This window comes from Homo sapiens, chromosome 20 (genome assembly GCF_000001405.40).
Source record: "Homo sapiens chromosome 20, GRCh38.p14 Primary Assembly".
Taxonomy (NCBI): Eukaryota; Metazoa; Chordata; class Mammalia; order Primates; family Hominidae; genus Homo; species Homo sapiens.
Genome location: NC_000020.11, coordinates 11,526,544 through 11,550,730, shown reverse-complemented (window position 1 = coordinate 11,550,730; position 24,187 = coordinate 11,526,544). Strand labels below are relative to the sequence as shown.

The 24,187-nt window shown below is 39.0% G+C and overlaps 1 annotated feature.

Annotated features, from left to right (window-relative positions):
• Window positions 13,060-13,757: an enhancer, noted in NCBI's record as "OCT4-NANOG-H3K27ac hESC enhancer chr20:11517622-11518319 (GRCh37/hg19 assembly coordinates)". NCBI's record gives its function as "activates a minimal SCP1, AML or CMV promoter by ChIP-STARR-seq in primed H9 embryonic stem cells {active_cell/tissue: H9 hESC(primed)}" and the evidence as "EXISTENCE:reporter gene assay evidence [ECO:0000049][PMID:30033119]".

Sequence of the window (24,187 nt, the reverse complement as noted above, 5' to 3'; positions counted from 1 at the left end):
AATAACATAATGGAAGCTATGAGAGAGACAATAGAAGAACCTCTGACTGGGCGCAGTGGCTCACGCCTATAATCCCAGCACTTTGGTCCAAGATGGGTGGATCACCTGCCTCGAGTTCAAGACCAGCCTGACCAACATGGTGAAACACCGTCCCTACTAAAGATACAAAAATTAGTTGGGTGTGGTGGTGGGCGCCTATAATCCCAGCTACTTGGGAGGCTGAGGCAGGAGAATCACTTGAACCCAGGAGGTTGCAGTGCGCCGAGATTGTGCCATTGCACTCCAGCCTGGATAACAGAGCGAGACTCTGTCAAAAAAAAAAAAAAAAAAAGAAGAAGAAGAAGAAGAAACTTCTGATACCCTGTTAGAGAAGATCTCTCTGAGGAACTGATATTAGCTGATATCAGCATGGTAAGTAGGAACTGTTGAGGTAAAGTTGGGAGAAGAAGTTCAAAAAACACTGAGAACAGCCTCTGGGATGGCTCAGGGTAAGAAAAATCCCTGTGAAATGAACAAATTGGAGGCATGGCAGAATGAGGGTGCCTGTTCTAGGGTAGAGAATGAAGGCATGGTATTTTAAAAGAGTAGGCAGCAAACCACTGGGGGCAAGATACTAAACCTCTCTGTGCCCCAGTTTCCTCATTTGTGAAATTGAGCTAATAATAGTGTCTAGTATTAGGTTGAAATCAATTAATATGCAGAGAGAACTTAAATGTGTGCTCAACACACAGTCAAATGTTTGTAGAAATGTATCATTCTTATTACATTCATGTAAATACAACTTGTTATTTTCAAGTTGTTGACTCAATCATTAGTGACAGCTCAGAAAATGTAATTATGGTTAAAAGCATAACGCAAATGTTTTACACCTTGGCACACAGCCCAGCTGACAGAAATTGGCAGGAAGAAAGGGGGAAGAAAAGTAGAAAAGTAGAGGTCTTAATAACTCATCTTACAGAGTGACAGTCAAGGGCCAAAACTGCTAGAATAAAAAAGGCAGAGTGATGAAAGCTATTTCAAGTTGCTGAATATAACCACAAGGTGAATTAAAAACAGGGATATAACTACAGAGAAGAGGTGAAAAAGGAAGATAGTAGTGGGAGATACACGGGCTAAATACCCATGGAGCTGAGAACCACAACCACCTGCATCAACATTACCTAGCTATTAAGGCCAAAAACCCACGGCAACCTTTGTCAACATGACATAGTTGTTTGTACCAGAGAAACTTTGCCTGAGAAAGGTAAGATTAATCATCAATAATTAACTTTACTACTGCCTTCAGGAAATTCCAGCAGATCAATTATTTTGAGACAAAAGTTGGCTCATTGGCTCAGCTGGGAAAACATTTTGCTTATCAAACAAAAATTTCTTACCCAGAATCATTTTAAGAACTTCGTCTCACAATGTCACAATTAATGCCCAATCTCGATTGCTTAAACCACTCTGGTGTAGATCCCAAGACCCTAGAGAGATACATTCTGACTTTTCCCCTGCGATAATCCTAAAACTCTCTCAAGGTGGTATTTTTGAAAACTGCTCAAATGTTTAGTTAATACAGCTTTGCATTACTAACAGATTGGTAGCATGTTAGTGAAATTCAACATAGCAAAGAGGCAAGAGATAGTAGATAGTTCCGGAGACATTAGTAGAAACATAGTATTTAGAGAATTGAATGAAATACCAAAAAGAGTACCACAGAAATGGACAGAAATAATCACTTTAGAAGAAGAAGCTTAGAAACAGTTACTTTAAGAATGGAATGAAGGCAGAAGATGGCATCTTTTCATCACAAGATTTTATGCATTATATGCATTATTTCAGTGTCCTGACCTATGGATATTGCTTTGACAAAAACAAAAAGAGAGATAGAAATATTATGGTAACATACTAAATGAAAAGATAGAAATGTTTGGAAGCACAAAAATCCGCAAACAAGATATTATCCTTCATTTATCAAGGATGTCAAACCCTAGAGGCCTGTCAAGATTTCGCCTGATTTAACTTGGTTTGGCTGATCCAGCAGCGTATCTGGCCCATAGTCGGTATACATTAAACAATTTTGTAATTTTATGTAATTGAGGTGGTGCTGAGTTCTCACTAGAGTCACAGTGGTTAAAAATGCTTAACTAATTCCAGTGGTTAAGATGCTATTTCTGCTGGGCACGGTGGCTCACACCTGTTATCTAAGCCCTTTGGGAGGCGGGAGGGTCTGTTGAGCCCAGGAGTTTGAAACCAGCCTGAGAAATATAGGAAAACCCCATTTCTAAAAATAATTTTTAAAATTAGCTAGGCCTGGTGGTGTGCCTCTGTGGTTCCAGCTACTCAGGAGGCTGAGGCAGGAGGATCTCCTGAGCCCAGGAGGTGGAGGTTGCAGTGAGCTGAGATTGCACCATTGCATTCCAGCCTGGGCAATAAAAGCAAAACTCCATCTCAAAAAAAAAGAAAAAAAAAAGATGCTATTTCTTTATTGATCTGTTGATTTAAGTTTCAATTGTATCAGTTATCAATTTGAGGAGTGTGTTTGGAGACCCTTCTTTAGGATCAGGAATTAAGCAGGTATGAAAGAGAAATTAAAAAAAAAAAACTTTCTTAATGTGTTCTTTTAAGTCAACTATTGCTATGGACTGAATGTTTGTATTCTCTTAAAATTAATATGTTGAAATCCTAACCAAAAATACGATAATATTAGGAGGCAGAGCCTTCGGAAGGTGATTAGGTCATAAGGGTGAAGCCTTCATGAATGGGATTGCTGTCCTTGTAAACAGACACCAGAACACTTGCTTTCTGTCTCTCTGCTCTCTGCTATGTGAGGATACAATGAGAAAGATGAACAGCCTGGGTGTGGTGGCTTACACTTGTAATCCCAGCACTTTGGGATGCCAAGGCGGGTGGATCACCTGAGGTCAGGAGTTCAAGACTAGCCTGACCAACATGGAGAAACAATGTATCTACTAAAAAAAAAAAAATACAAAAATTAGCTGGGTGTGGTGGTGGGAGCCTGTAATCCCAGCTACTTGGAAGGCTGAGGCAGGGAGAATTGCTTGAACCTGGGAGGCGGAGGTTGCAGTGAGCCGAGATCATGCCACTGCACTCCAGCCTGGGTGACAGGGTAAGATTCCATCTCAAGAAAAAAAAAAAAAAAAAAAAGAGAGAGAAAGCAAAAAAGAGAAAGACGGACATCTGAACACCAACAAGCAGCTCCTCACTGGACAGCAAGTGTGTTAGTGCCTTGATCTTGGAATTCCCAGCCTTCATAACTGTGAGAAATCAATGTTGTTTAAACCACCCTGTCTATGGCATTTTTTTTATATGGTAGCCTGACCAGAGACAACTATGAACCCATTCTTGAGGATTTGGTGCTGAATACTAAGCATATTGTAGCAGTCCCAGGAATACACTGCTCATGTCTCCTTCTGAAAATAACCTTTCATGTCTATCACCTGACAGTATCCAGCTGCTGCTGCACCTTTAGGACCCACAACAGCATTCATACAGAGGATGCACGATTCCTGGGCTGTCTCCAGATTATTACTGAGCCTAGTAAGGGAAATAGAATTGGATTATCCCACGACTCCCTCTAATGGACCATCTCTATGTTGGAACTGTGCGTCAGCCTGGCCAAGGCTTTCCCAGAGCTATGTTGTGCTGTCAGGCTCGCTCGGTCCCCCTTCTTCCCTCTGGTCTTTCTCAGGTATTGAACCTCCATTGTAGACTGAAGTTTTTCTCTGCTGCTCTGTTTATCCTTCACAGGAATTTTTTCCAACACGTTGTTCACACGTCTATTTCCCTGTAGGTGTCTGCGTCTCAGAGGACCTGCAGTGATGCAGGCACAGAGTCAGGGAGTTTTCTTATGGCAGGGTGGGGAAAGCAGACACTTACCCTCCCCTTCCTGAGGATGCAAATACGGGCCCTTCTCTTACTCCTTACAAGGAACTAAAGGAACATTTGAAAGCCCTATGGAAATGTTTCTGGAAATGAAGAGGTAGGGCTCTTAATTTCCCATGCTTCTCTTTCCTGGTCAGTTTCTTGGAGTTTCAGGTTCACCTGCAGATTATGGACACTGAGGTAGCTCTTTTGTATTTTGGTAAATTCTTTACTGAGAAGACAAAGTATGTGCATCAGTAGATAGTCCCTGTTTGTATGCAAAAGCACAGCCTGTGTGACATGGATTGTAAGAAAGAAAGAGCACCGTGTGAGCTATAGGCAGAATTCATGCCACCGTGATCAATAGGGAGATTCTCCACCAAGAATCCCAGCAAGGAAAGCCTCACTGCCCAGCTTCTGGGAGTAGAGTTGGCAGATGGTCCCACTGTCATCTCCTCAGTGTCTTCTTCTTTGAGTCGACCCCTTCCTAGGACAACCCACACAGCCTGATGCTGAGTGAGGTGGGGGTGCAAAGGCCTGGTCTTGTTCGCCCACTGGGGCCCAGCTCTGGTGGACAGAACAGTATTCACTCCAGAGCTCCCTGCAGGGCAGGGGAGGCTTCTGTGGGCTGCCCTCACAGTTCAGCTTCCCCTGTGTCTTCCACAGGGCTTGATCCCTAATAAGTACCTTGAAACTCAGACTCTGTTTTGGCAGCTGATTCTGGAGAACCCCACCAGCAAAGGTTATTAACCTGAAGGAAAGGAAAGATAGAAAGAAAATGAAAGTTAATTCGAAGAAAAAGAATGTGCAGGATGTGGGGCAACATAAGTAAATATAGATTCATCAGTTTCTTAGAGAACATTTTTTATCCTTTGGAAGCTACTTTAAATTATTGTTGTACACAAAGTTGCAGAACAGGAAATAGAAATATCATTGGCCCACAGGCCCAATAACACAGATATGTACAAGTGAGTTTTCCCTAAGACCTGGGCATATCCCTACGTATGAGAGGTACTAGATTGCCATAGCATTTATACGACAGCATTAGAGGAAAAATAATCACTTTTGTCCCCCCCCCACAAAGTACACTCTGAGAGTAAAGTCAAATAAATATAATCTTGGTGAATATTAGAGGGGCACGAAGAAAACAAGCCGCCAAATGAAATTTTATAGGACAGGCATATTCTGAGTACTCAGAGAGAAAGAGAAATTCAAAGGGCTTTTTGAACAAGTGATTCCGGAGACAAATTTTGAAGGAGAAGTTTTGTGGCGATGACTTGGGAGTGGGAAATGATTCCATCACTCCTGTTTCCCAGCTGAGATAAGGGAATTCTGTTAGCTGCACACTGCACGGACAGAAACAGGGTTACCTGGAGAGCCCTGACAGCAATGTTTGTGGTGAAGATGTGGTTCTGGAAGTGAATTTCCATCCAGGCATTGTGCTGACTCTATCACTTAGCAGTTCTGTCATCAATATCTTTGGATTTCAATTTCCTCATCTATAAAACACGATTAATAATGGCTACCTCATAGGGTTATTGTGTGGCTTAAATACATGTGTTTGGGTAAAACACTCCAAATAGGTTGGTTAATGTTATATTCGGGGAAACCTCGATGGGTCAGCTGAGGCACGCCTTTTGGAGGAGGAGAATATTGGCGAACATGGTAAAACCCCGTCTCTACTAAAAAAATACAAAAAAATTAGCCAGGGGTGGTGGCGAGAGCCTGTAATCCCAGCTCCTTGGGAGGTTGAGGCAGGAGAATCGCTTGAACTGGGGAGGTGGAGGTTGCAGTGGGCCAAGATTGTGCCACGGCACTCTGGCCTGGGTGACAAGAGCAAGACTCCGTCTAAAGAAAAAACCACTGGGTAGGCTGGGCTCGGTTGCTCACGCCTGTAATCCCAGCACTTTAGGAGACCAAAGTGGGCAGATCTCCTGAGGTTAGGAGTTCGAGACCAGCCTGGCCAACGTGGTGAAACCCAGTCTTAACTAAAAATACAAAAGTTAGCCAGGCATGGTGGCTTGCGCCTGTAATCCCAGCTAGTCGGGAGGCTGAGGCAGGAGAATCACTTGAAACCGGGAGGCAGAGGTTGCAGTGAGCCGAGATCGCGTCATTGCACTCCAGCCTGGGCAACAAGAACAAAACTTCATCTCAAAAAACAAACAAACAAACAAACAAACAAACCCAAAACCATCAAGGAGCCCTGAACACTCAGAAAAGGTAATTCTAGAGGGAGACAATTAGATCCATGGAGTTGAGTCATCATTAGTTTCATCAAAGAGAAGAAACACGCTGAGTCCTCAGAGACAGCCACTTTCTGAGACCCAGTGTCTGTGCGTTATTCTTTGACAGAAGTTCTCCCTGACGGATGCAGCCGTTGGTCCCAGTCTCTACTTCGTCTTGACTGTGATGATTCTCTACGTATAAAACCCTCCACCAAATTATAAACTAGGGAGACTCAGCTAAATATAGGTGCTCAAAAACATACTGAATTTGAATGTTGGACGGTTTAGTGCCCAGCTTCCCCACACATATTCACAACACATCAAAACACAATAACGTTAGCCCATGTGTCTGTGCCAGTACTTCCCTTTTAAAAAATCAAAAATACAGCCAGCAGATGGCGAGAGTGGATCATATTTGAACTGTAGGTAAACTAGGTTTTCAGTAGTAGTTTTTGGAGACACTCCTCAGTTACTTTTTATTTGTTGTTTGTTTTGGTTTCCTTTTCCTTTGAATGGAATCAAGTTTGCACCTCAGGGCAGAATTAGAAGTAATCACGAAGGTAACTAAGAAAAAAAAAAACAAGGTGAACTAGGGCTTAAGAGCTCTAAATACATCATTTTATTAACTCTCAAACATTTTTTAGGAGGGTAAGTTTGGAAGGGGAGAGGAGTAAAAAGCCAAATAGTTTGGATAATCGCCCAAATGTAGGTAGGTTGATTAAAATAGTCATTCATTTCTGAAGTACTCAGCAATACTGCTTCCAAGATATGTCCCTTATATTTTACTCTCACATATAATTATTGGCCAAAAATTGTGGGCTCAACTCTAGAGGATAAATTTTACAGGTCATAAATGTTCTAAATGTTGTTCTTCTCTGGACTGCCCAAGGCAGCCTGAACAACAGGCTGAGATTTGCTTCAGGTTATCTCTCCACCATCTTCAACGCTCGCCCACAAATGAGATGCCAAGGGTCACTCTGTGTCAGGACTTGGTGAGAAAAGCCACTGGAATGTTTAATTTCTCTCTGGACAGAAAGCTTCTTTGTCCACACATGTATTGTAATGCTGGGACACACAGTTGTCCATGGGGGGAAAGAAAGGGCTACAAAGAATGCAGAAAAAATATATAAGTCAAGCACATAGTTACCTAGGAAGGTAAATGTGAGGATTGGGGAAGTTTACAGAAAATAAAAATTGTTCACAGGATCGCTAAATATTTCCTCACTCTTTAAGATGACATTAAGGTATGTTAATTTTTAAGCTATTTTAATGTTTGAGAATCATGACTCTATGAGAGAGAGAGAGAGAGAATGCCTGTATTTCCAAGTTTGCAAGTAAGTAAGGTCAAGTTAGAAAGTCAGAGACAGGAAGCGGAATGTGTGTGTGTGTGTGTGTGTGTGTGTGTGTGTGTGTGTGTGTGTGTGTGTAGAATATTCCTGTCTGCTTTGTGCCACAAATTCTTGGAAAGGCTGCTGTACGCCTAAGTTTAGCTCCACTATATAGCTTGTTGCAGTTTCTGTACCTAAAAGAAGGGTCCTTGTGTCCCCACAAAAAATCTTTTCAGTTATTGGGTGAGCTATGCCCATCCACTTAGCATAGGTATTTACAAACACAACAACATAGATGACACACATGATAACCATTTTATAAAGAAAGGTTTCAGAATTATTTTTAGCTTGTAATTTTATTCTGATTGATGTCTTCATTGAATATACTGGACAGACTTTTAAACAGTTAATAAAACAACACACCTCTAATATCTGTTTGTGAAAATGTAAACTAGATATGCTTACATAAGGAAAAAAACTAAAGCAAGGTAAAAACGTAGATATTTTCGAAGCAACTCATCTAAAACTAACTTCCAAACATACTTTAAAAGTTTGAATCTAACAATATTCTTCAGAACATTGGTTGACTAATTTAACTAGTTTTTTTTTAAAGCAAAAAAGGTAAAAAGATTTTGGACACAGTATTATATTAATGTGACACCAGAAAACATCTAAAGGTTAAAAATCCAGGAAACTGTCTAGCATACAAAGGCATGTTCATTCATGGAAATACTTTGTTGTGAAAACAAGTAATTGATGTGTTTATGTTCTTAACATTAAAAACATAAAGATACAAAATTGTGCAAATAGTATGAATGCAAAACACCACAAATTAAAACAAATTCATAGACAATATGACTGGGAGAAAATTCATCGATAACTCCATAGCAGAAATACCTGGGGGTGATGTTCTGGTTCATTTATTTCTGAATTTCTCTGTAATTTTCCCCTAGATTTTAATGGCTATTTATTTTCTATTAAAAAGACACGTATAAACATGTAAGTATTCATGTTTTAAGTCATCATTTTGCATAGTTCTGTTTCCAGCCTCAGTTTGTTCTTCTGCAAAATAAAGGCATTCTGGTATCCCACGTGTCTGTATCAAAACAACCCCTTGAGCATTAAAAAAATAAATAAATAAAATGACTAATAAGACATGTATAGACTTTAGAGGTGGCTTGCAATTACAATTTTATTATTAAAATAAGACTTATTAAAATAAGAGAGAAAACATGTATCTTTGGTAATGTGAAAAGAAGAAGAATTCGCAGCTTATTCTTCTCATATCATAAAGTTTTTTCCACCTACAAGATACCACAGTGTCTCACATGGAACCCTTACAGAGTTACTCCTTTTGGTTAAAACATTTGCCTTTATCCCAGCACTTTGGGAGGCCGAGGCAGGCGGATCACGAGGTCAGGAAATCAAGACCTTCCTGGCTAACAAGGTGAAACCTCGTCTCTACTAAAAATACAAAAGTTAGCCGGGCGTGGTGGCGGGCACCTGTAGTCCCAGCTATCCGGGAAGCTGAGGCAGCAGAATGGCGTGAACCCGGGAGGCGGAGCTTGCGGTGAGGCGGAGCTTGCAGGGAGGCGGAGCTTGCGGTGAGGCGGAGCTTGCGGTGAGGCGGAGCTTGCGGTGAGCCGAGATTGCGCCACTGCACTCCAGCCTGGGCGACAGAGTGAGACTCCATATCAACAAAACAAAACAAAACAAAATTTACCTTTGAATCCGTCTCAAAAGTGAAGGTCCAGCCTAGCAGAGTGCCAGACATCATGAGTCTTTAGAATTCTAAGGAGCAGCATGAGAATTCTCAGGCCAAAGGTAGGAGCAGGGAGGGAGCTACGGGACTTAAGGGGAGTTCCCGAAGGATGAAGCTGGAGGCTTCCCTCAGAACTCTAGCTGCTCTGCCCCAGGCGGTTTGCAGAGAGCATCATCTGATTACCACACGCTCAATCCTATTCTCAAACCAAAACACAAATAAGCCCAGTAATAAGCCCAGGTCCATACAGCCTGGGCCTCACAGGAAACAAGATGGCTGAATGAGACTCAGATACCAGGCCCCTGTGAAATGACAAGTATTTCTGCTTTGCAGGAAAACCAGCCTTAGCTTTTGCTCCTAGCAGCAGCTTGGCCTGCCATTGCTGATGGAGATGATGCAGTTAAAGCCATAACCAGTCGCTAAACCAGGAGGGAAATGGTTTTGATAAGGGCCTCCGGAGTTCTCTATGTTTCGGACTAAGGAAACCTTGTCTGTGCCTTGATAATCTGCTCACTGCATTGGTGCAAACAATCAAGAATTGCCTTTACTGCACCAGACGGAGATCCATTAATTTTTTAGTAAATTTCCCAGAGTCCTCCCTTCTCCCTCTAAACCGTTCTGTGTGTACTTTTCCTACTGCCTATATTAACAATCTATGAGAAGGTAAGGGGCAGGCCACAGCAAGCTCATTCAGAGGACTTTCTATGCAAACCCAAGAAAAAGAGACCTATTTGCAACTCTGTGGCAGGGGCTTCCCCCTTCCTGCCCCAAGCCTGTCACCCTTTGTCCAGTTTCCTGGGCTTTTGTGGGAGATCTAAATAACTATTTGTCTTTTTGCATAGTGGGGAAGGGGGCAAGAGGAGGAAAGGGATAAGACACAGGAGAGGAAAGGAAGGCTCTTGTGGCTTCTTGAGAACGTGTTTAGGATCAGTCATCTTGGTCATGGGTTTGTAGAGCAATTGTTCTACGTCCTACAAATTCCAGCCTGATTTCTCAACTCCAGCAAATGTGCATTTGGTGTTTCACGCTGAGTACTGTATGTGTATTCTGCATGTCCCTTCCAGCAAATACACATTTGGTGTTTCATGGTAAGTATTATATGTGTATTTTTTATCCTGTGAGTAGTCACAGGATAGAAAATTCTATTACATTCTACCTGTAATCAGAATCATTTCGAGGAATAAAATTTAGCATCAATTCCTTGTATGTGTAATAAAGCAGGTGCCCAACCTGTGATCCCCAAAGCTTGTGAAATTACAGGCTTTTTCCTCTCCTTTTCTAATGCACATTTAACGTTATAGGATCACAATGGGTGATAAAAATGTAATTGCTGAAAATTAGAGAGTAGTTGCTGAAGAGCAGAGAGAATTCCCAGGACTTCCACCAAATTTGTTCATTTGAATCTCTTGCAATCAAGTACAAAGCCAAGAATTAAAACCTTTTAGAAATAACCCTAAATTGGGATCACATGTGCTCATGTATAGAACACTTTTATGCATTTTTGGAATCTTTTTGTCTTAAATGCATACACAGAGACAATCTTAACATGTGTATCAATATTTATAAACATGTTTTATACATTTATGCTGCACAAAATCATCTATAATTCCATTCTATGTGTGTGTATTATTTTTAATTAGTTTTGGTGGATTATGTGGTCTTCCTTTCTCTCTTTTCTCACAACAAGCTGCTAAGTTATACTTGAACCAGTTTCAGACTTGAAAGATTTAGTAAACAAAAACACTTTATAACATTTTTGGTGGGAGTTTTTAACAGATGTATTCTTTCTCTTGAGGATTTCTCCACCATTTGATCTTTTCCTCCAAAGCAATTCATTATAATATAATGGGCAAAGTCCCAGGCAGGATAATTATGCTGAAGCCGTCCTGTAGCCAGGACACAGCATCCATCCTTCATGCTCATAGCTCCCTTCCCTGCGCGGATGCTCTGGCCAATGAGGCTGTAAGCTCCTCCGAACAAACAGGCAGGAATGGCTGTTTAGAGTAGGGAATGGTTCAGAAGCTCTTCATTTGGGCTTAGTTTCTGTAAAGCTGCAAGAATAAGCCTTGCCTATGAACTTTAGGAAACAAAGTCTTGGAGTGAAGCTAAGGAGGTAGAGATATTATCATAGAATCAGAATGTTCAGTCAAGCAGAGAGTTTATTTTGCATTGTATTTTTAGTTATTTAAGGTTGTTAGAGGCTACTCTTTCTAGAGTTAAGTCGCCAAGTCAATGTAGTTGAAAAAAACTCAACTTTTCCAAGAACAGCCACCAAATTTGTTCCCTTAAGCTATGCAAATGTAAGACTAAAGGGTACCCATTCCTCTAGGTGGTTGTATAAAGGGAGTTTGTGGAATTCCAAGTGAGCATAGACAGATGAGTCCTATCATCCTTCTCTTATAGCATCAGTCACAGGGAGGACAGGATACCTTTTATTTCCAGTCTCTCCTCTCTACCTCCAGCCTTCGATCATGTGTCAGTAAGAGCTGTTAATAGTTTTTCAAAGTGGCTGTTCCATTTTATGTTACATAACATCACTAATATATAAAGCTCCTGTTTCTCTACATCCTATTAACATTTGTTATTATTTATCTTTTTAAAAAATCATAGCCATTCTTGTGGAGGTGAAATGGTACTCATAATGGTCTTAATGTGCATCTCCCTAATAATTAATAATGTTGAGCATCTTTTCAGGTGCTATTAGACATTTGTATATCTTCTTTGGTAAAATGTTTATTAAAGTCTTCTGCCCATTTCATAATTGGTTGTTTACCTTGTATACTGGGCTATAAGAGTTCATTTTATATTTTGAGGATAAATTTTTATCAGATATATGATATGTAAATTTTTTTCTCAGTCTATGGCTTGTGTTTTTATTTTCTTAACAGTGTCTTTTAAAACAGAAAAGTTTTGAATTTCAGTGAAAGCCGATTTATCAAGTTTTGTATGTATTATGCTTTTGACATAATATCATAGACATAATATCATATCTAAGAAATTTTTATCTAACTCAAGGTTTTAAATATTTTATTCTATGTTTTCTTCTAAAAGTTTTATAGCTTTACCTAATGCATTTAGGTCTCTGATCTATTCTGAGGTAATTTTTGTTTGTGATAGGAGGTAAGGGTCTAAGTTCATGTTTGGCTTAAAAAAAAAGATCTTTGTTCTAAAGGAAAAAAAGAGAATATGATTCTGGTAATAACAAAGATACAGGATGGTGGAAGGTTTTCTATTTTACTATTTTTTATAGGATATATTTGAGTGTACTTATAGGTTAGGAAGAAGAAGAAGGAGAAAGAAGATCAAAACGCAGACAACAGAGCAAATAATGGAGAAAACGTGGGGTGGGAACAGGACCCACAAGGCAAATTATAGAGGTGGAGCTTCAGCACAAGATACTCTCTCCTCTGCACTGAAAGGGATAACATTGATGAAGTTTTGGTTGTCTTTTCAGTAAAAAAGAAGCAAGGCTACCTACTGCAAGTGACATCAGTGAAGAGCAGATGTCTCAGCACCATAGTAGAAAAAAAAATCGCTGTTCCTGTTGACTTGCTTAGTTGTTTGTGTTAAAAATCAATTGATCATCAACATAGAGGTATAAACTCACTCTTAAATGTGAGTTTGGCCTTGCCTTTGAATGTGGCTGATATTCTAGGATTTGAGCCTTACAGTAGAACAGTGCTATGAGCAACTGTCAGTTGGTGATCTTCTATCTGGTTATCTCCTCCTTTTACCCCATTTGATGTTGGTATAATCACTGGCACCACGCAGGCCTGTGCAAACGACCAACATGATCTCAGATATGTTTTGTTTTGTTTCTTAATCAACTTCCAACATGTTAGCATATACCTTCCCAAGAAAATAATTTGATGACAAAATGCTATGGTTTCAAAGACTCCCCTTCCTACTTTGGATTAACGGAGGCTACATCAAAATGAGAGAATGCATGTGAAAATATTTCACAAACCATAAAATGCCAAACAAATATAGGGAATTATCATTACTGCATGCAGGAAATAAGAGTAAACAGAAGCAACAATAGTGCTTTTAAAGGGCTTAGATAAACAAAACAGATGACAAGATCAACACAAGAAGATAAAATCCAGATTTGCAGATAATCCACCCATGGATAGTCGAAAATTGACTTTATCTGCATTACCTAAAATATTAAGGAGTTGGATCAAGATCAAAAACGGCTTAGTTGGATGTAGGGGATAAAGTTGTCTTAGTAATTGGTATATTCCCTTGCAGATAGGCAGAAACTTTGCCCTAAGGTATTGCTTTCTCTTGTTAATGGATGGCCCTCCTTCAAGGGTGTAGGTGGAATTAGCAATTCCTTTTATAATGTAAACTTCAGCATGCTGAAAACCTCAAATAACTTAACATCTTTTCTCCACACAGAGAGATAGCTACTTTGCTTGAAATTTCCAGGATTAGTGAATACTTAAGGGCAATTATGAAAGTCTGCACATTTGTACAGTTGAGGCATTGCTACTGAGATCTAACAAAACATTTTGCTAGGAGTATAGCTTTTATTAATCCACTCACTATCTATCGTCATCCAGCGGACAGCTAAATCCTGGAAGTTTGCACGTAAGACAGAATTTGTTTTTTTTTTTTTTTTTTTTTTTTTTTTTTTTGAGGCAGTCTCGCTCTGTTGCCAGGCTGGAGTGCAATGGCGCGATCTTGGGTCACTGCAACCTCCGCCTCCTGGGTTCAAGCGATTCTCCTGCCTCAGGCTCCCAAGTAGCTGAGATTACAGGCGCCCGCCACTGCGCCCGGCTAATTTTTGTATTTTAGTAGAGACGGGGTTTCACTATGTTGGTCAGGCTGGTCTCGAACTCCTGACCTCAGGTGATCCGCCCACCTCAGCCTCCCAAAGTGCTGAGATTACAGGCGTGAGCCACCGCGCCCGGCCAAGACAGAATTTGAAGAGAAGGAATTAGGGGAAAGTGTGGAGCACTGTGCAAATTGCTCTGGAGTGGGTAATATAGGGATGGAGAGGTCCAGGTATTTAGTAGGAAGCAAAAGGACATTGCTTCCCTGGAGACTGAGAAAGAGATCTCACATGGAGGAAGGGCAGAGGCTGATGGTTGCACCCTTTTTCCTGCAGAAGAATTTCGTCTCTGGGAAGTCCTGACTCTGCATTAATGATGGACATCAATGTTTTCAGCTGCCAGACAGGTCCATCTTCTCAATTCCTGAGATCCTAACTGTGGTTTGTCATTTTGTTTAGTGTTTCTCTGGCACTCTGTTTCTGCATCCAAATCCTAGCTGTTTCATGGCAGTATTTAGTTAGCTTTTATGATCACAGCTCTTCAAGTTTGCTTATTTTTGTGCTCTCTATTCTATAGAAAGAAAGATTCAGATGATCTTGCTCTTACAGTGGGCATTAGAGGTAAAGCCATGATGATAATTATTACTCAAAGGCCCTTAAGCTACACAGCTTCAGACAATCCTGCCTAAAAAACTTAAATATCAGAAAGCTGTGAGGAAACCTGTGCATGGCCACTGGAATTTCACAATGGTCCCAAATTTGCACCCTAAAATAACTTTCTGTGTATAGTCAGGCAGCTGATGCCTAGAATTTGTGCTCAGGAAGATTAGAGGAATGTAGCAATTATTTTTTAAAGTATCTTAGTTTGAAGGCACCCTATAGATTTGTTAAAAGTACATATGAGGAGTAAAGAGGCAGAGGAAATAGGGAGGGGCTCCAAGCTTGGAGATAAAAAAATTGCCAAGAAAGAGTCTGCCTTTAAAGAAAGGGGAATAAGGAGCAGGAAGACAGAGGAGAGAGATAATAAACAAGAAGCGTCTTCATGGTGCCCTAATGTAACACACAACAGGGGCTGGAAAGCATTGAACATTTGTTGTTAGAGAAGAAAGTAAGGCAGGAAACATTCTGAGAATGAGGATGAGCCATCTATTGCAAAGACTTCTGTGCTGTGCTCACAGGCAAATGCAAAGCAGAGCAGTCAATGGCCAGTGCTTTGACCACTCCAAATGGTCTTCTCTACCACGGTTAGTGGGCCAAGTCATTCTGGAACAGGCTTTGAACTGGTCCCTTTACATTGCCCAGAACGACCCCTGCTCATCCATTCTTGCCTCTTTGCATCTTTCTATTTATCACGCCATTAAGCTTGTAGTACACAGCCAATTCAATAGGGAGCTCCCCTAAGTATACATGTACATAAAAATTGGAATTAAAAGGAGCTACTCTCTTTGATTTGGCCCTGGTATCTTGATTGCTTTCTGTTGTGCCCATCCTGATTTTTGTCTTGGCCCTAGGCATTTGGGCAGGTACACTTTTGTGGCTGACTTGAATTCTTTTATTGCACCGTCTCCAGTGTATTTCTCATGATAATTTCGTTTAGCAGCAATTCTTAATCTTGTTCAACTTGCTTTTTAGTGACACCTGATTCTTTTGCTGATCTGGCCAGGTAACCATAACTAGCAGAGTCAAGAGACAAGGGGAGGTTGAGAAATGTTTACAAAGGTCTTGATGCCTTTTATTACCTATAGATCCTTTTGCTTCTACCTTTAGGAAGCATTTCTTCCTTGAGGTCCTCCATGTAGCTGTTGTACTCCATTGTTGCTCAAGCATTGGTACCTGACTTACTGTCTTTCTTTTCACTCCTTTTAGGCTGAACAATCATCCTGGTTGTCTTTGTTATCCATGTGGAAAGCTTCCTGACTTATTATACTCCAACAATCTCCATTCAACCCCTTGAGCCACTCTCTCTCAGGATCATACTCCAGACCTGGGCACTTGTTGGGAAATCCTAAATTTCAATTTTCAATTTCTGACCATAATTATCCCTGCATGTTTTTTTTCTTTTTTTCCCTTGCTCCCTATACATAGGTTTTCTGGATACCCTGAGAATTCAATTCCTCAACCCTTCTCTTTTTCTTCAGTGAACTCTTTCCTTCCTTTGATAGCCCACCTCTCTAGAGTGCAGTGTTTATGTTCTGTTTTTGGTTGCTTCAACATCCTCATGGCCTTGCAAATTAGCATCAATCTAGCCATTCATTATACCCTTACAAAAAATGTAGCTGATAAATGCCCCTGGAGAAAATCATTTAACTCTGTAGACCATTGTTGCTACAGATTGTGGTTTCCAATCTCCAATGAGTCTTCATTTTGGTTTGAAAGTTATTTTACACAACTAGCTTGCTTGCTTTCTCAGTAACCCACAAGGATATTTCAAATGTCATTCTCACCTATCCACCTGCTCATCACTGATGTCACTTGCAGTAGGTAGCCTTGCTTCTTTTTTACTGAAAAGACAACAAAAACTTCATCAATGTTATCCCTTTCAGTGCAGAGGAGGGAGCATCTTGTGCTGAAGCTCCACCTCTAAAATTTGCCTTGTGGGTCCTGTTCCCACCCCACATTTTCTCCATTATTTGCTCTGTTGTCTGCGTTTTGATTCTCTTTCTCCTTCTTCTTCTTCCTAACCTATAAGTACACTCGAATATATCCTATTAAAAATAGTAAAATAGAAAACCTTCCACCATCCTGTATCTTTGTTATTACCAGAATCATATTCTCTTTTTTCCTTTAGAACAAAGGTCTTTTTTTTAACTTTGTAAAGCATCTATTTTGAGTGATAATTTACATAGCATATTTTTTTTTTTCATTTTAAGTGTATAGTCCCATGAGTTTTAGTCACACAGCCACCATCCCTGCAATCTGGTTTTCAGTTCCTTCCCTCACCCCAAAACATTCTTCCTGCTCCTTAGCAGTCAGTCTTATTGCCCATTCCCAGCCCTAGGCCACCACTGATCTGTTTTAGGTCTCAATAATTTTGCCAGTTCTGGGCATTAATCACACGTGACTTTTGTGCCTAAATGTTTCCACTTGGCATAAGAGCTTTGAGATTCATTTATGTTATGCATGCATCAGTAGTCTTTTCCTTTAAATTGCTGTATAGTATTCCATTGAAGGGTTTGCCACAAGATGTTTATCCAATCCCCAGTTGATGGACTTCCCTCATTTTTAACTAATGAATAAAATTGCTACAAACATTGGTGTCTTCACCTTTTAGTCTTTGATTAATGTCTCTACATTTTAGTCTTTGAATGAGGATGAGTCATTGTTTCTCTTGGGAAGCTACTGAGGAGTGAAGTTTCTGGGCTATATAGTTAGTATATGTTCAACTTTTCTAAAAAAAAAATTTAGATTCAGCGGTACATGAGCAGATTTGTTATCTGGGTATATTGCGTGGTGCTGAAATTTGGGCTTCTATTGATCCCATTGCCCAAATAGGTAATATAGCACTCAATAAATAGTTCTTCAACCCTTGCCCCATTCCCTTCCTCCCCTATTTTTGGAGTCCCCAGTGTCTATTGTTTCTATCTTTATGTCTGCATGTACTAATGTTTAGCTTTCACTTATAAGTGAGAACATGCAGTATTTGGTTTTCTGTTTTTTCATAAATTTACTTAGGATAATGGCCACAAGCTGCATCCATGTTGCTGTAAAGTATAGGATTGATTTCATTCTTCTTATGGCTGCATAGTATTCCATCATGTATATGCACCACCTTTTATTTATCCAGTCCACCACTGACAAGACACTAGGTTGGTTCCCACGTCTTTGCTATTGTGAATAGTGCTGTGATAAATATATGACTGCAGGTGTTTTTTAGGTAGAATGATTTATTTTCCTTTGGGTATGTATCCAGTAATAGGATTGCTGAGTTGAATGATAAATCTATTTTTAGTTCTTTGAGAAATATCCAACTGCTTTCTACAGTGGCTCAACTAATTTACATACCTACCAATAGTGTATAAGCATTACTTTTCTTTGCTACCTTGTTAATATCTGTTATTTTTTGACTTTTTAGTAATAACCATTCTGACTGTTGTGAGATGATATCTCATTGTGATTTTGATTTGCATTTTTTCTGATGATTCATGATGATAAGCATTTTTTTGTGTTTGTTGGCTGCTTATATGTCTTCTTTTTAAGAAGTGTCTGTTCATGTCCTTTGCCCACTTTTTAATGGATTTTTTTTCTTGTTGATTTGTTTAAGTTTCTTGCAGATTCTGGATATTAGTCCTTTGTCAGATTCATAGTCTGGAAATGTTTTCTCCCATTCTGTAGGTTGTCTGTCTACTATGTTGATAGTTTATTTTGATGTGCAGAAGCTTTTTAGTTTAATTAGGTCTCAATTGCCAATTTTTGCTTTTGTTGCATTTGCTTTTAAAGACTTAAATTATTTGCCTAGGCCAATGTCCAGAAGAATGTTTTCTAGTTTTTCTCCTAGAAGTTTGATTGTTTCAGGTCTTAGATTTAAGTCTTTAATCTATCTTGAGTTAATATTTGTATATGACAAGAGGTAGGGATAGAGTTTCATTCTTCTGCATATGGTTAGCCAGGTTCAGCAGCACCATTTTTTGAATAGGGTATCCTTTCCCATTGTTTACTTTTGTTGACTTTGTCAAAAGTCAGTTGGTTGTAAATATGTGGCTTTATTTCTGGGTTCTCTTTTCTGTTTCATTCGTCTTTTTGTTTATTTTTGTACAAGTACTATGCTGTTTTGGTTACTGTAGCCTTATAGTACAGCTTGAAGTCAGGTAATGTGGTGTCCCTGGCTTTGTTCGTTTTGCTTAGGTTTGTTTTGGCAATTTGGGCTCCTTTCAGTTTCATACAAATTTTAGAATAGTTTTTTTCTAATTCTGTGAAGAAAGATGTTGGTAATTTGATAGAATTGCATTGAGAATATAGATCACTTTTGAACAGTATAGACATTTTAATAATTTTTTATTCTTCCAATTTATGAGCAGGAAATATTTTTCCACTTGTTTGTGTGATCTATGATTTCTTTCAGCAGTGTTTTGTAGTTCTCTTATAGAGGTCTTTCATCTCCTCGGTTAAATGTATTTCTATGTATTTTATTTTTTGTAGCTATTGTAAATTTTATTGTATTATCGATTTGGTTATCAGCTTGAATGTTATTGGTGTATGGTTTTGTATGTTGATCTTGTATCCTGAAACTTTACTGAAGTTGTTTATCAAGTCTAAGGGTCTTTTGGCAGAATCTTTAGGGTTTTCTAGATATAGAATCATACCTTCAGCAAAGTGAGATGATTTGATTTCCTCTTTTTCTTATTTGGATGCCTTTTATTTCTTTCTCTTGCCTGATTGCTCTGGCTAGGACTTCCAGTACTATGCTGAATAGGAGTGATGAGAGTGGATATCCTTGTCTTATTCCAGTTCTTAAGAGGAATGCTTCACATTTTGCCTATTCAGTATGATATTGCCTGTGGGTTTGCCATAGATGACTCTTAATATTTTAAGAGTTCCCTTTGATTCATACTTTGTTGAGGGTTTTTAACATGAAGAGATGTTGGATTTTATTGAATCATTTTTCTGCATCTACTGAGATGATCATACAATTTTTGTTTTTAATTCTATTTATGAGGTGAATCACATTTATTGATTTGCATATGTTGAACCATCCTTGCATTCCGGAATAAAGCTTACTTGATCACAGTGGATTATCTTTTTGATGTGTGGCTGAATTTGATTTGCTAATATTTTGTTGAAGATTTTTGTGTCTATGTTCTTCAGGGATATTGGCCTGTAGCTTTCTTTTTAGTTGTGTCTTTGCCAGATTATGGTATCAAGATGATATTGGTTTTGTGGAATTAGTTAGGGAGGAATCCTTCCTCCTCAAGTTTTTGGAATATTTTTAGTAGAATTGGTACCAGCTCTTCTTTTTACATTTGATAGAACTTGGATGTGAACCTAGCTGGTTTAGGGCTTTTTATGGTTGGTAGGTTTTTTATTACTAATTCAATTTGGTAACTCATTAATGGTGTTTTCAGGGTTTCTATTTCTTCCTGGTTCAATATTGGGAGGTTGTGTGTTTCTAGGAATTTATCAGTTTTTTCTAGATTTCATAGCATGTGTGCATAGAGATGTTCATAGTAGTCTCTGAGGATATTTTATATTTTGTAAGATTGGTTGTAATGTCACCTTTGTTTCTTCTGATTATACTTATCTGGATCATCTCTCTTTTTTTCTTTGTTAATCTAGTGAGTGGTCTGGTCTATTATTCCCATTTATCCTTTAAAAAAACAAAGTTTTCACCTTATTGACCCTTTATATGTTTTTGGGTCACAATTTCATTTAGTTCTGCTCTGATTTTAGTTATTTATTTTCTTTGTTAGCTTTGGGATTCATTCGCTCTTTAATTCTAGTTTCTTTAGATGCAGCATTAGTTTATTTAAGATCTTTCTAACGTTTTGAAGTAGGCATTTAGCACTATAAACGTTCCTCTTAACACTGCTTTTTCCCCATTCTAGAGGTTCCCATTCAGAATGTACTAAAGTACATTCTGTCTTTAGTTTCATTTGTTTCAAATAATTTTTTTTTTATTTTTGCCTTAGTTGTTTTGCTTACTGAAAAGTCATTCAGGAGTAAGTTTCTATATAATCATGTGGTTTTGAGAGTAGAACAAAGATCTTGGAAAGATTATTTATAACCTTTGTTCACATATCTCATGTCTAATACACTTATTATTTCCCATTCATAAAAAGTTAATGTATGCACAAACATTTAAAAGTCAAATAGCAATACATGCTTAATCATGTAAAATAAGATTCTCTTAATTCCCACCTTGACATTCTTGAGACTCTGTTCTCCAATACTTCTATTTGTTCAGCTACTCAGCTCCAAAACTGTGCTTCATCAGCACTCCCTTCCTAATTCTGTTGTTCTTTCTGGGCATAATGCATATCTATATCTATCAATTTCATTTTTTTAACTCTCTGGGAATATTAATTCTAGTGATGTTGTTTGTGGTAATGAGAAGGATTTCTGCTTCTAGTTTTTGTGTGTTCTTTTTCTCTTTGTTTTGGCCTCTTTCTGCTGTGTTAGTGTTCCTTAAATGACTGGTGGTCTTGTGTTATTCACTTACATTTAGAAATGGGTCACCAGGCTGGACACAGTGGCTCGTGCCTGTAATCCCAGCACTTTGGGAGGACTAGGCGGGCGGATCATGAGGTCAAGAGATCAAGACCATCCTGGCCAATATGGTGAAACCCCATCTTTACTAAAAAATACAAAAATTAGCCGGGCGTGGTGGCAGGTGCCTATAATCCCAGCTACTCGGGAGGCTGAGGCAGGAGAAGCATTTGAACCTGGGAGGCGGAGGTTGCAGTGAGCCGAGTTCACGCCACTGCACTCCAGCCTGGTGACTGAGTGAGACTCCATCTCAAAGAAAAAAAAAAAAAAAAAAGAAAGAAAGAAATGAGTCACCAGTCAGCTCAACTCTGTGGCATGGCCAGACATGTGTTTACTGGTGATTGATTGGGAAGGGACCTGCCCCTTTGGAGTGAAGAGCAATTTGAGATGTCAGTATCTGACATTTTATTGAAAGAAAATCTCTCATTCTTCAACCTGTATAAATGTCTAGGCCCTATTATTCTAGGAATCAAGTGGTCAAAAGGGTTTGGAGACTTCATCACTTAGTATAGTGAATTTTGCATCATCTACCTGTTCCATATATGGGCTTTTTGCCCAGATCTTGACTTGTTGATTCTAAATTCTGAATATTTTTATGGTTCTCTATTGAAATGGCTTTTTCTCTTGGGCACTTGCAGGCAGTTGCTATTTACTGTGCTCATCTCTGCTTACTCCTTCATTGCTTTCCATCTTCCTAAAATGTCTCAGCAACTGTTATCTCTTGTTGTGTCTTTTCTGTTATTTGCTCTTATAGTAGATAAGTAGATTATTTTTAACTTCTTCACTCTCATTATATTAAGTATAATGTAGATATTAAGTTATTTACTATAATTTTAATAAATTAATTATTAAAGGGACAGAAACAAATATGTTCAAATGACGTTGTTTAATTTGAAATCTTCTAATTCACCTTTTAACATACTGTAAGTAGATGTATGGTTTTACTCTATGGAAAATCCAACAATTTCCTATGTCTTAAGTCAAATAAGACTATTTTCTGTTTTTATCTTCCTTGTCCTCTGCAACTAGCATCTAATGTTTTTTTGTACAACATCCCTTGGCTTTTGTTATACCACTCTCCTAGTTTTTCTCTTTCCTTTTTCTTTAATCATTTTCAGCTAGCTTTCTTGTTCTTCTTCTGTTCCCCACCTCTTTTCTCAATGTTATATTTTTGAGTCTCTGTCTCTTCTCTCTCTAAATGTCCTAATTTTTCTCAGACTTCAACCTACCTCATTTATTTGGTTTTTCACCCTCAGGAGATAATTTTGCTTTCTTCCTCCAAAGAGATGAAAGAAAGAAGGAAATTTGTCCTCCTCCAATGTTATGCTACCCAATGTATAGCCCATTCTACATTTCCACCCACTCTTGCTCCATGTTTTTGTTATGTTTTGCTTTATAGGCACATATGCTTTTATTTGAACCAAACTCCTTCACTGCCCACTCTGTTCTCTTCCAGTCACTGCCTACGTATGCACCATACTGTTGATTATATCTTTTCTCTCTTATATTTTCAATCTCTTTTTTACTGAACCTCTTCCATCTTTTTTTTTAATCTTAGAAAAATCAAATTGACACTAAGCCATCTGTTTCTCTATCTGCAAAAGAACTGTTTATACATTTTGTTCCCATTTTCTCGTCTCCACTCACATCTCAACTTCTGATCTTAATTTCATTCTCATTGGTGCACACAAACAAATCTCACAAAAGTCACAAATTTCTGCTTGTTCACCAAATGCAGTAGACATATTTCATTTCCTATCCCAACTAGGGCCTCAGTGACATTTTACTTTGTTGACTGTTCCTTAATTCTTAAAACAGTTTCTGGCCTCAGTTTCTATGCCAACATATGTACTTCATTTTCTTTTTATCTCTGTGGCTCCTCCTTCACTCTTTCCTTTGTAGTCTTATCCTTCTTTACATAGTCATTAAATGTGAGCATTCGTATGACTACACTCTAGCCCCTCTTGACTTCTCAGTATGCTTTCCCTTAGAACTCACTTCTCCCACGGCCGCAACTGCCTACGCACTTAAGGTACATTTTTTTTTTTTTGATGGAGTTTTGCTCTTGTTGCCCAAGCTAGTGTACAATGGTGCCATCTTGGCTCACTGCAACCTCCGCCCCCCCAGGTTCAAGCGATTCTCCAGCCTCAGCTTTCCGAGTAGCTGGGATTACAGGTGCATGCCACCACGCCCAGCTAATGTTTTGTATTTTCAGTAGAAACGGGGTTTCACCGTGTTAGCCAGGCTGGTCGTGAACTCCTGAGCTCAGGTGATCCGCCTGCCTCGGACTCCCAAAGCACTGGGATTACAGGTGTGAGCCACCACGCCCGGCCCACTTAAGGTACTTAAAAAAAATATCTCAGGCTAAGGTTAAGGAAGAAACCACCACTTACTAACTGAAATACAAAGTTAAATTTATTACTGAAGCAAGGGAGAGTTATGATTTTTAGGCAGTCTTTCTAAACAAAGCAGACTATTGATTGTACGTGGAAATTTTAGAAAATAAATAGTTCAGAGAATGGGTTGATGTCAGCTATAGAAGCATGATTTCTTGGGAGAAGACCCTTGTGGATTGGTTGCCTTTCCAGTATGTTCACTGGAGTCATGCTCTTGCCAACTGGTTGTCCTTCCAAAGAGGAACACTATTACTCATTGGTTAGCTTTCAAAAACTTGCTCTGAGAAAGTTATCATGAATTGACTAAGTGGGTTTAAAACTGGTTGTGATGGTAACTCTAACTGTTGCTACAGAACAATCAGTTGTTTCTGAGGAGCATGAGAAATTGTTAAAGTTCTCATAAAGCTGTTTCTTTTTTAAATAAATTCACCTTCAAATATCCAACCATGTATTCACTGTTTCAACCTGATGTCTCAAAAGCACTTGAACTCAACATGTCCAAAACCAAATGTATGCTTTTCTGTTCAAACTTGATCCTTCTCTTGAAAGACACAACTATTCATCTAGATCAGGAACTGGCAAATTTTTCTGTAAAAGGGGAGATAAAAATTTCAGGCTTCGTGGAATATACG